The following is a 13,794-nucleotide window of genomic DNA, read 5'->3' on the forward strand; positions in this document are numbered from 1 at the left end:
TGATATAATATGAAAATGTCCAGGTTTCAACAGAAAATTCCTCATACCAAGAACCATGAAAATCTCAAATTAAATGTAAAGAGACAATGAACAGATGCCAAGACCAAAATGACAGTGATGTTAGTTTCCTGACAGATTTTAAAGCCTTTTACATGCTTCAATAATTATGAATGTACTTGAAAGATTATGAAGAAAAATAGCCTCAGAAACAAATAGAACACCCCAAAGACTCCATGCCAACACACATTATACTTTAATTTCTGAAAACCAAAGACACAGAAAAAATTGAAAGCAATGAAAGAATATCAACACCTTGCTTATAGGGAAAAACAATTCAGATGAAAGCAGATTTCTTCTCAGAAAAGCAAGCCAGAGGAAGTAGCATAGTATTTTTTAAGGAAAAAAAAAAAGTATTTTTTCAAGAAAAAAACTCAGGCCAGGTGTGGTGGCCCACGCCTATAATCTTAGCACTTTGGGAGGCCAAGGTGGCAAGACTGCTTGAGCTCAAGACTTCAAGAACCAGCTTGGGCAATAAAATAAGATCCTGTCTCGGCCAGGCATGGTGGCTCAGGCCTGTAATCCCAGCATTTTGGGAGGCCGAGGTGGGTGGGTCACGAAGTCAGGAGTTTGAGACCAGCCTGGCCAACACAGTGAAACCCCGTCTCTACTAAAAATACAAAAATTAGCTGGGCATGGTCATGGGCACCTATAATCCTAGCTACTCGGGAGGCTGAGGCAGGAGAATCACTTGAACCCCGGAGGCACAAGTTGCAGTAAGCTGAGATCGTGCCACTGCACTTCAGCCTGGGCGACAGAGCTAGACTCCATCTCAAAAAAAAAAAAAATAGGCCAGGTGCGGTGGCTCATGTCTGTAATCCCAGCACTTTGGGAGGCCGAGGCAGGCGAATCACCTGAGGTCGGAGTTGGAGACCAGCCCGACCAACATGGAGAAACCCTGTCTCTACTAAAAATACAAAATTAGCTGGGTGTGGTAGCACATGCCTGTAATCCCAGCTACTCGGGAGGCTGAGGCAGGAGAATCACTTGAATCCAGGAGGTGAAGGTTGTGGTGAGCCGAGATCACGCCATTGCACTCCAGCCTGGGCAACAAGAGTGAAACTCCGTCTCAAAAAAAAAAAAAAAAAAAAATCCTGTCTCTACAAAATAAAAATTAAAAAATTAGCCAGGTGTGGTAGCACACATCTGTAGTCCCAGCTACTTGGGAGACTGAGTCAGGAAGATCCCTTGAGCCGAAGGAGTTCAAGGTTGCATTGAGCTATGATCAGTGCCACTGCACTCCAGCCTGGGCAACAGAGATCCTATCTCAAAAAAAAAAAAAAAATCAGCAAGGATATAGAGCTCAATAACACCACCATCCAAAGGATCCGACAGACATTTATAGAAAATTCCACCTAACCACAGCAAAATACATACTCTTTTCAAGTGTTCACAGAACATATACCAAAACAGACCATATCTTAAGCCAAAAACAAACTTAGACAAGTTTAAAAAAATTGAAATTATATGAAGTATATTCTCAAAGCACAAAAGATTCAAACTAGAAATCAGTAACAGGAAGAAAACAAGAAAATCTCCACACAATTGGAAACTAAACAGCATGGTACTAAATAATCCAGGTCAAAGAGGAAGTCTCAATGGCTATCAAAGAACACACTGACCTGAAGAAAAATAAAGATACAACTTATCAAAATTTCTGGGACACAGTTAAAGCAGTGCTGAGAGGGCAATTTAGAGCACTAAATGCATATGTTAGACAAGAAAAAAAGTCTCAGGCTGGGCATGGTGGCTCACACCTGTAATCCCAGCACTTTGGGATCACACCACTGCACTCCAGCCTGGGCGATAAGAGTGAGACTCCGCAGCAGGTGGATCACCTGAGGTCAGGAATTTGAGACCAGCTTGGCCAACGTGGCAAAACCCCGTCTCTTCTAAAAATACAAAAACTAGCCGGGCGTGGTGTTCCACGCCTATAGTCTCAGCTACTTGGGAAACTGAGGCAGAATTGCTTCAACCTGGGAGGTGGTGGTTGCAGTGAGCCAAGACTGCACCACTGTACTCCAGCCCAGGCAACAGAGCAAGATTCCGTCTCAGAAACAAACAAAAAAGTCTCAAATAATCATTTAAGCTTTTACCTCATGAATGTAGAAAAGAACAAAATAAACTCAAAGCTAAAAAGGAAAATAATAGGCCAGGTGCAGTGGCTCACGCCTGTAATCTCAGCACTTTGGGAGGCCAAGGCAGGAGGGATTGCCTGAGATCAGGAGTTCGAGACCAGCCTACCCACCACAGCGAAACCCTGTCTCTACTAAAAATACAAAAATTAGCTGAGAGTGGTGGCGGGGGCCTGTAATCTCAGCTACTCAGGAGGCTGAGGCAGGAGAATCACTTGAACCTGGGAGGTGGAGGTTGCAGTGAGCTGAGATGGCGCCATCGTACTCCAGCCTGGGCAACAAGAGCAAAACTCTGTCTCAAAAAAAAAAAAAAAAAGAAAAAAGAAAAAAGAAAAAAAAAGATATTGATAAGAGCAAAAAGCAATAAAGTTAAAAACAGAATAACTATAGAGAAAATTCAATGAAACAAAGGAGTCTTTTAAAAAGATTAAAAATTGACAAACCTCTAGCAATACTGACAATGCAAAAAGGACAGAGAACACGTATTACTGGTATAAGGAATGAAAAAGGAGCTATCATTATAGACCTGCAAGCACTTAAAGAATAAGGAATATGGCCAGGCATGGTGGCTTATGCCTGTAATCCCAGCACTTTGGGAGGTCAAGGTGGGTGGATCACGAGGTCAGGAGATCGAGACCATCCTGGCTAACATGGTGAAACCCCGTCACTGCTAAAAATACAAAAAATTAGCCGGGTGTGGTGGCGGGCGCCTGTAGTCCCAGCTACTCAGGGAGGCTGAGGCAGGAGAATGGTGTGAACCCAGGAGGCGGAGCTTGCAGTGAGCCAAGATCATGCCACTGCACTCCAGCCTGGGCGACAAAGCGAGACTCCATCTCAAAAAATAAAAAAAGCATAAGGAATCCTACAAAAATGCTACATACATAAATTTGACAACTTGGATTAAATGGACTAATTCTTTGAAAATCACAAACTACCACAACTCACCTAATAAAAGAAGATAATCTGAACAGTACCATAACTATTAATGAAGGTGATTCATAGTTTTAAAGAAATATTCAAGCCCAGGTAGTTTCATTGTAGAAACATTTAAAAAAGAATTAAGGCCCGGCGTGGTGGCTCACCCCTATAATCCCAGCACTTTGGGAGGCCGAGGCAGGTGGATCACCTGAGGTCAGGAGTTCAAGATCAGCCTGACCAACATGGTGAAACTCTGTCTCTACTAAAATACAAAAAAATTAGCCAGGCGTGGTGGCACGCATCTGTAACCCCAGCTACTCGTGAAGCTGAAGCACGAGAATCTATTGAACCCAGGAGGCGGAGGTTGCAGTGAGCCAAGATCGCGCCACTGCACTCCAGCCTGGGTGACAGAGTGAGACCCTGTCTCAAAAAAAATTTTTAAAAAAGAATTAAATCAATTCTACACAAACTCTTCCAGAGCACAGAAGGAAAATTTCTCAATTCATTTTATAAAAGGCTATATTACCCTGATACTGAAATCAGATGAAGACAGTTCCAAAAAACAAAACAAAGGAAAAACTATAGACCAGTATCATTCATGAATATACAGATGCAAAAATTGTTAACAAAATATTACCAAATAGAATTCAGCAAGATATAAAAAGAATTACATACCATGACCAAGTGAGAATTATTCCAGGGACATAAGACTAGTTCAATGTTCAAAAATTAATCAATATAATCCACTATATTAAGAGACTAAAGAAAAAGACCCATGTGATCATGCAACAAACGCAGAAAAGCATGTGCTAAAACTGAATACCTATCCAGGACAGAAGCTCTCAGAAAAATAGAATTTAAAGGGAATATCCTCAACCTGATAAAGAGTATCCACAAAACCATCCTGGCTAACACGGTGAAACCTCATCTCTACTAAAAATACAAAAAATTAGCTGGGTGTGGTGGCGGGCGCCTGTAGTCCCAGCTACTCGGGAGGCTGAGGCAGGAGAATGGCGTGAACCCGGGAGGCGGAGCTTGCAGTGAGTGGGGATCACGCCACTGCACTCCAGCCTGGGCAACAGAGCGAGACTCTGTCTCAAAAAAAAAAAAAAAAAAAAAAAAAAAAAAAAAAAAAAGAACATCTACAAAAACACCTCACCTACAGCTAACATTATACTCTCTGTGATGAAACATTGAATTCTTTCCTCCTAAAATCAGGAACAGGAACACAGCAAGGACATCTACTTTGTCACTCTTAAATATTTGACATAGTACTGGAAGTTCTAGCCAATGCAATAAGGTAAGAAGAGGAAATAAAAGGCATAGAAATCCAAAAATACAGAAATATTTGCAGATAACATAATTGTCCACACAGAAAATACTAAGGAATCTACAAAAATTCTCCTAGAATGAACAATTCTAGCATAGTATTAAGCTGACAAGATAGAAGATAAACATATAAAAATCAATTATTGGGACAGGATCGTGGAAGACTGACAGAGTAGGAAGCATCAAGAATCTGTATTTCCACCTAAACAAAAACTGCACCTGCAGAATCTGTTTGATGCAACTATTTAGGAACTCTGGAGTCTATTGGGAGGACTGCAACTTCCAGGGGGAAACCTGGATAGTAAATGACAAATTATGGTTAATTCTGGTTAATTTCAGCCCAGCTACTGCTATGGTTTTAATGTGTCCCTCCAAAAGCAAGGTGTTGAAACTCAGTAGCTAATGTGCTAGTATTAAAAGTTGGGCCTTTGAGAGGGGATTATGCCACAAGGGTTCCTTCCTCATGAATGGGATTAAGGCCCTTACAAAGAGGTATCACACAGCATTTGGATTTCCTGCTCTTATTCCTTCAGCCATGTGAGAACAAAGTGTTCCTCTACTCCAGAGGATGCAGCCCTCACCAAACAACTGAACATGCCAGCACCCTGATCTTGGACTTCCTAACCTCCAGAACTGTGAGGGAAAAAAATCCTGTTCTTTATAGATTACCCAGTCTGTGGTATTCTGTGATAGCAGCACAAAATGGAATAAACAACTCAGCCCGTAGGCCCTTAGTAGGCAACTGTACACGTGCTCCTGGAGTAGTCTGCAGGCAGTTCACAGGAGCCAGGATGGTCAAAAAGGACCCTGTCCTCCAAAAACTAGGTATGTGTGTTTTGATTGCCGAATGCAGCTTCTGACCTTGCAGTCACAGGGGCAGCTATGGTTGCACCCCTCCTCCCATTGTTGCAAGCCCTTCCCCTTCAGGCTGAAGCAACTTCAGGAGAGTTAAAGGGCCACCGACCTTTTATTTCCCCCATCCCCTTCATTTTTCTCTTTTTTCCCTTTTGGGGAAATAGACATTTAAAGTCTAGGAAATTCAAAAGTAACCACACACGGGAATTTTTAAAGTCTCTGTGAGTCACACATGGTTGGCTCATGCTTGTAATCCCAGTATTTTGAGACGCTGAAATGCAAGGATTGCTTAAGGCCAGGATTTGAGACAAGCCTGGGCAATGCAGTGAGACCCTGTCTCTACAAAAAAGATGAAAACATCAGCCAAGCTTGGAGGTGTACACCTGTAGTCCCAGCTACTCAGGAAGCTAAGGTGGGAGGACTGCTTGAGCCCAGAAACTTGAGTCTACAAGTAGCTACGATCCTGCCACCATATACCAGCCTGAGAAACATGGAGACCACAAAGAAAACAGCTATAAAATATACAAATATACACAAAAGAAAATGAGAAGGGAATTAAAACATTTCACTGCAAAAACTCAACTAAATGGCCTAGCGCAGTGGCTCACGCCTGTAATCCCAATACTTTGGGAGGTGAGGCGGGTGGATCACTTGAGGTCAAGAGTTCGAGACCAGCCTGACCAACATGGTGAAACCGTCTCTACTAAAAATACAAAAATTAGCCAGGTGTGGTGACACACATCTGTAATTCCAGCTATGCAGGAGGCTGATGCAAGAGAATCGCTTGAACCTGGGAGGCTGAGGTCGCAGTAAGCTGAGATTGTGTCACTGCACTCCAGGCTGGGTGACAGAGCAAGACTCTGTCTCAAAAAAAAAAAAAAAAAAAAAAACAACTAAACACAAAAGAAGACAGTAATGTAGAAAATTATTTTTTTGTTTTGATTTTTTTTTTTTTTGAGATGGAGTTTTGCTCTGTCGTCCAGGCTGGGGGTGCAATGGTGCAATCTTGGCTCACTGCAACCTCTGCCTCCCGGGTTCAAGAGATTCTCATGCCTCGGCCTCCTGAGTAGCTGGGATTACAGGTGCCCGCCACCATGCCTGGCTGATTTTTTGTATTTTAGTAGAAACGGGCTTTCACCATCTTGTCCATGCTGGTCTCGAACTCCTGAGCTCAGGCAATCTGCCTGTCTTGGCCTCCCAAAGTGCTAGGATTACAGGCATGAGCACCATCCCCGGCGAGTAATGTAGAAAATTAAGGAAAAAGACAGATAGGCATATAAAGACTGAAATAACAGAAGTCCCTCCTTATCAGTAATTGGCTTAAATGGATTAAACCCTCCCATCAAAAGACAAACTGGCAGAACGGACAAAAAACTGACAGGGTGTGCACCTATAGTCTCAACTACCTGGGAGGCTGGGTAGGGGCGCGGATCACTGGAACTCAGGAGTTTGAGGCTTTAGTGCATTATGATATAGTACACTGTGAATATTTACTGTACTCCAGCCTGGGCAACACAGTCAGACCCTGTCTCTAAAATTAATTAATAAAATAAATTTTAAAATAAAAAAACATGAACCAATTATATGTTGTCTACAAGAGACACTTTAGATCTAGACACACAAATAGGTTAAAAGTGCAAGAATGAAAAAAGATACTCCACACAAACAGTAACCTAAAGATAGCAGGGACGGCTATAAATAAGCCTGTCACAAAAAGACAAATGCCATATGATCCACTTACATAAGTAGCCGAATTCACAGAGAGAGGAGGTAGAATGGTGGTTGCCAGGGGCTGCAGGGAGGGTGAATGGTGAGTTATTGTTTAATGAGTACAGAGTTTCAGCTTTGCAAGATGAAGAGATCTGAAAATGAATGGTTGTGATGGCTGCATAGCAATGTTGATACGCTTAGTACAACTGCACCGTACACTTAAAAACCGTTAAAATGGTAAATTTTATGTTATGTGCATTTTACTATATGCAAAAAAGTCAACTATATTATTGGGAAAAATGTCAACTATATGATTGGGAAAATGCAAATCAATACCACAATGAGATACTACTTCACACCCAATTACATGGTTATTATCAAAGAAACCCGAAAATAACAAGCATTGATGAGGATGTAGAGAAACTGTAATCCTGGTAGGAATATAAAATGGTGCAGCCACTGTGGAAAACAGTTTTGTCATTCTTCAAAAAATTAAAAATGAGGCCGGATGCAGTGGCTTATGCCTGTAATCCCAGCACTTTTGGAGGCCAAGGCGGGCAGATCATCTGAGGTCAAGAGTTCAAGACCAGCCTGGCCAACATGGTGAAACCCCATCTCTACTAAAAAAATTAGTCGGGCCTGGTGGCGGGTGCCTGTAATCCCAGACACTTGGGAGGCTGAGGCAGGAGAATCACTTGAACCCGGTAAGCGGAGGGTGCGGTGAGCCAAGATCGCGCCATTGCACTCCAGCCTGGGAAACAGAGCAAGACTCTGTCTTAAAAAAAAAATTAAAAATGGAATTACCATATGACCCAGCAAATCCACTTCTTGTATATATCCAAAAATCTTAAAAGCAGGGTCTTGGAGAAATATCTGTGCACTCATATTCAAAGCAGCATTATTCACAAAAGCCAAACAGTGACAGCAACCCAAGTGTACATCAACAAATGAATGATAAACAAAGCATGAAATATATATGCAATGGAATAGCACTCAGCCTTAAAGAGGAAGGAAATTTTGACATACTACAACATGGCAAAATCCCTAAAACACTATGCTAAGTAAAACAAGTAAGTCACAAAAGGGAAAATACTGTATGATTCCACTCAGATGAGGTACCTCGAATAGTCAAATTCATAGAGAAACAGAATGGTGGTTACCAAGGTCTGGGATGAAGGGGAGAATGATAAGAATGATGACTTTAATGGGTGTAGTGTTTCAGTTCTGAAAAATAAATAATGTTCTGTGGATAGACAGTAGTGATGATTCCACAACTAGTGGAACATGTGAATGTACTACTTAATACCACTGAACTGCACACTTGAAATATTTTAAATGGTAAATTTTATGTTATGTATATTTTGCCACAACTTTTAAAAAATAAATAATTTTTAAAACTCAGTTGAATTTCTATAGCTTAACAATTAACATACAGACTGAAATTAAAAATACATCACTGTTTACAATCATTACAAAAATGAAATACTTAGGTATAAAAGCTAACAAGACATATATATGACATGTGCTAAAAACTATAAAACACTGGCCAGGCGCAGTGGCTCACGCCTGTAATCCCAACACTTTGGGAGGCCGAGGCGGGCGGATCACGAGGTCAAGAGATCGAGACTATCCTGATCAACATGGTGAAACCCTGTCTCCACTACAAATACAAAATATTGCCAGACGAGGTGGCTCACGCCTGTAATCCCAGCACTTTGGGAGGCCGAGGCAGGTGGATCACCTAAGGTCAGGAGTTCGAAACCAGCCTGACCAATATGGTGAAACCCCGTCTCTACTAAAAAACACAAAAATTAGCTGGGCATGGTGGCCTGCGCCTGTAGTCTCAGCTACTTGGGAGTCTGAGGCAGGAGAATCGCTTGAACCTGAGAGGTGGAGGTTGCAGTGAGCCAAGATCGTGCCACTGCACTCCAGCCAGGGTGACAGAGTGAAACTCTTGTCTCCAAAAATAAATAAATAAATAAATAAATAAATAATAAAATAAATAAATAAATAAATATATATATATAAAATTAGCTGGGCATGGTGGCACATGCCTGTAGTCCCAGCTACTCGGCAGGCTGAGGCAGGAGGATCGCTTGAACCTGGGAGGCGGAGGTTGCAGTGAGCTGAGATCGCACCACTGCACTCCAGCCTGGTGACAGAGCAAGACTCCATCTCAGAAAAAAAAAAAAAAGGAAAAAGAAAGAAAGAAAAAAAATTGGTTGGGCACAGTGGCTCACTCCTGTAATCCCAGCACTTTGGGAGGTTGAGACGGGCGGATCACCTGAGGTCAGGAGTTCAAGACCAGCCTGGCCAACATGGTGAAACCCCGTCTCTACTAAAAATAGAAAAATTAGCCGGGCATGGTAGTGGGCACCTATAACTCCAGCTACTCAGGAGGCTGAGCAGAGACAATTGCTTGAATCCGGGAGGTGGAGGTTGCAGTGAGCCGAGATCCTGCCACTGCACTCCAGACTGGGTGATAGAGCGAGACTTCGTCTCAAAAAAAAAATAAAAAAAAGAAATAGAAAAGGAGAACCACAAAAGACTCCAAAGAGATCCTGAGCAAAAGGAACAAAGTTGGAGACATCACACTACTTGACCCTAAACTGCAATGCTCTAGTAACCAAAACAGCATGGTACTGGCATAAAAACAGACATACAGACCAATGGAACAGAATAGAGAATCCGGAAATCCATGTATTTACAGTCAACTGATTTTCAACAAAAGCACCAAGAACATACACTGGAGCAAGTGCAGTGTTTTTAATAAGTGGTGCTGAGAAAACTAGATATCCATTTGCAGAAATAAGGAGCTAGACCCCCTAACTCTCACCATATATAAAACCAACTCAAAATAAATTAAAGATATAAACGTTTACACCTGAAACTATGAAATTATTAGAAGATGATGTAGGAGAAATGCTTCAGGACATTGGTCTGGGCCAAGATTTTAGGAAGACCTCAAAAGCACAGGCAACAAAAGCAAAACTAAACAAATGTGATTATATAAAACTAAAATGCTTCTGCACAGTAAAGGCAACAATTAAAAGAATAAAGAGGCAACCTGTAGAATGGGAGAAAATATTTGCAAACTATTCATCTGACAAGGGATTAATATCCAGAATATACAAAGAACTCAAACAAGAGCAAAAAACCCCCCACAAATAATCCAATTAAAAAATGGGTAAATGAATTGGAATAGACATCTCTCAAAAGAAGACATATAAATGGTCAAGAGGCATATGAAAAAAAAATCCTCAATGTCACTAATCATCAGGGAATTGCAAATCAAAACCACCATGAGATACCATCTTGCCCTAATTAGGATGGGTGTAAGCAAAAAGACAAAAACTGCTGGGCGTGGTGGCTCACACCTGTAATCACAGCACTCTGGGAGGCTGAGGCAGGTGGACTGCCTGAGCTCAGGGGTTCGAGACCAGACTGGGCAACATGGTGAAACCCCGTCTCTACTAAAATACAAAAAATTAGCTAGGCGTGGTAGCGTGTGCCTGTAGTTGCAGCTACTCAGGAGGCTGAGGCATGAGAACTGCTTGAACCTGAGAGGCGGAGGTTGTAGTTAGCCAAGATGATGCCACTGCACTCCAGCCTGGGCAACAGAGTGAGACTGTCTCCACAAAAAAAAAAAAGACAAAAACTAACAAATGCTGGTGAGGATTTAGAGAAAGAATTCATATACAAAGTTCTTGGAAATGTAAGATGATATAGCCACTATGAACAGTATGGAGGTTCCTCATGGGAGGAATAGGATTAATGAACATAGGAGTGCAGATATGTCTGACATATTCATTTCCCTTCCTTTGGATATACCCAGAATCAGGATTGCTAGATTATATGGTAGTTCTAGTTTTTGTTTTTTAAGGAACCGCCATACTATTATAAACACTATTCACAATAGCCAAGACATGGAATCAACCTAAGTTCCTATCGACAGATGAATGAATAAAGAAACTGTGGCATGCATATACATACATACATACATACATATATATGGTGAAATACTACGTAACCACAAAAAAGAATGAAATTCTGTCATTCATGGCAACATGGATGAGTTTGGAGGATATCATGTTCAGAGAAATAAGGCAGGCACAGAAAGATAAATAACACATGTTCTCACTCATGACGAAGCTAAAAAAGTTGATCTCATAGACGTACAGAGTACAATAATGGTTACTAGAGGCTGGGATGGGTAGGGGAAGGTGGGTGTATCAGACATTGGTTAACAAATACAAAAGTACAGCCAGATAGGTGGAATGAATTCTAGTGTTCTATAGTGCTATAGGGTGACTGTAATGACTATTATTTTTTAATTTTTTTGAGACAGAGTCTCACTTTGTCTCCCAGGCTGGAGTGCAGTGGCGCGATCTTGGCTCACTCCGCCTCCCAGGCTCAAGCAATCCTCCTGCATCAACCTCCCAAGTAGCTGGGATTACAGGTGTGTGCCACCACCCCGGCTAATTTTTTTTGTATTTTTAGTAGAGACAGTGTTTCACCATGCTGGCCAGGCTGGTCTCGAACTCCTGACCTCAAGTGATCTGCCCGCCTTGGCCTCCCAAAGTGATGGGATTACAGGAGTGAGCCAACATGCCCAGCCAGGTGACTGTAATTAAAAACAACTTATGGTACATTTTCAAATAACTAGAAGAACAGATTTTGAATATTCCCAACACAAAGAAATGATAAATGTTTGAGGTGATGGATATGTTAATTACTCTGATTTGATCATTACCCATTGTATATGTGTATTGAATTATCACAGTGTACCCCATAAATATGTATGATTATTATGTGTCAAATTAAAAATAACAAACAAAAATTTTTAAAAACCAAAGCAACATCTACACTCAGCTTTTATAATTAATATAGAAGCAACACTGGCATTAGAAAATTATGATTTTGCAGTCAGTGCAGAAATAGCTGATTCAGACAAGAATCACTGGGTGCTAAAACTAGCAGATGAGATATTGATGAGAAACAGAGTATTTACATAGTCTCAAAGTACTTCCCACAAATTATTACAAGGGTCAAATGGTAAGTTTATTGTGGAGAGACCAAGCAGACACCACCTAACCAAGCGATCCAACTTATCACCAGTAATAGGACAAACAGAAATCCTATGCCTTCTTTTTTTTTTTTTTTTTTGAGATGGAGTCTCACTCAGTCTCCCAGGCTGGAGTGCAGTGGCGCGATCTTAGGTCACTGCAAGCTCCACCTCCCGGGTTCAAGCCATTGTCCTGCCTCAGCCTCCCCAGTAGCTGGGACTACAGGCGCCTGCCACCTCGCCTGGCTAATTTTTTTGTATTTTTAGTAGAGACGGGGATTCACCGTGTTAGCCAGGATGGTCTCGATCTCCTGACCTCGTGATCCGCCCAACTCGGCCTCCCAAAGTGCTGGGATTACAGGCGTGAGCCACCGCGCCCGGCCCTGTGCCTTCTTATATGATACACTGAGAGAAAAAAACCATCATACCAATGGTATGCCTGCCAAAAATGAATAATTTTTTTTTTTTTTGAGACTGAGTCTCGCTCTGTTGGTCAGGCTAGACTGCAGTGGTGTGATCTCAGCTCACTGCAACCTCCGCCTCCCGGGTTCAAGTGATTCTCTGGCCTCAGCCTCCCCAGTAGCTGGGATTATAGGTGCCTGCCAACATGTCCGGCTAATTTTTGTATTTTTAGTAGAGACAGGGTTTCACCATGTTGGCCAGGCTAGTCTAGAGCTCCTGGCCTCAAGTGATTCACCCGCCTCAGCCTCCCAAAGTGCTGGGATTACAGGCATGAGCCACCATGCCCGGCCAAAAAAAAAAAATGAATAATCTTAATCTAATCCTGAGGAAGTATCAGGCAAGCCCAAACTGAGGAATATTCCACAAAATAACTGGCCTGAATTCTTCAAAAATTCCAGTCCGAGAAAGGCAAAAGCTGAGATGTTTGTATTAAAAGGGGCTAAAGAAACATGATAACTAAATTCGATGTGTCCTTCTACATTGTAATCTGACCTAGCGGGGACAGAAGGGGGGAAATCTCTATATGACATTATTGGGATAATTGGCAAAATTTTATAAAGGTCTGTGGATTAGATGAACAGTACTATAACAATGTAAAATTTACAGCTTTTGATAACTGTGTTTTTTTTGTTTTTTTTTTTTTTCCTCAAGACGGAGTCTCGCTCTGTCGCCCAGGCTGGAGTGCGGTGGCGCGGTCTCGGCTCACTGCAAGCTCCGCCTCTCGGGTTCACGCCATTCTCCTGCCTCAGCCTCCTGAGTAGCTGGGACTACAGGCGCCCGCCACCACGGCTAATTTTTAGTAGAGATGGGGTTTCACTGTGTTAGCCAATAATTGTGTTGTTTTTACGTAAAAGAATGTCTTAGTACTCAGGATATACATTCTGAAATATTGAAGGTTAAAGGAGCATTATATATACAACTTAGTCTCAAATGGTTCAGGAAAAGGGTATACAGAAAAATAAAATGATAAGTCAAAAGGGGCATAATATTAATAATTGGTAAAACTAGGTAAAGTATATATGGAAGTTCCTTATACCATTCCTGCAAATTGTCTGCTAGTCTGAAATTATATCACAATATAAAGTTACCAAAAAAAGCCAAAATATTTGTTGAATTGCAAGTGGGGAAAATCCCAGCCTAGATGTAGTATAACTAAGGTTTTATTAGAGCGCTGGCAAACTGATGACTACAGCTTATTGAAATTTGGGCTGGGCACAATGGCTCACACCTGTAATCCCAGCACCTTGGGAGGCCTGGCAGGGG

General features: G+C 41.8%; 1 protein-coding gene across 6 annotated transcripts in view; it reads right to left on the bottom strand.

Moving 5' to 3' along the window:
- The window catches only part of KATNA1 (katanin catalytic subunit A1), a 54,118-nt gene that overhangs the window by 14,099 nt on the left and 26,225 nt on the right, over window positions 1-13,794 (bottom strand). The window lies entirely within an intron of this gene.

Source organism: Homo sapiens, chromosome 6, assembly GCF_000001405.40.
Source record: "Homo sapiens chromosome 6, GRCh38.p14 Primary Assembly".
Classification (NCBI taxonomy): domain Eukaryota; kingdom Metazoa; phylum Chordata; class Mammalia; order Primates; family Hominidae; genus Homo; species Homo sapiens.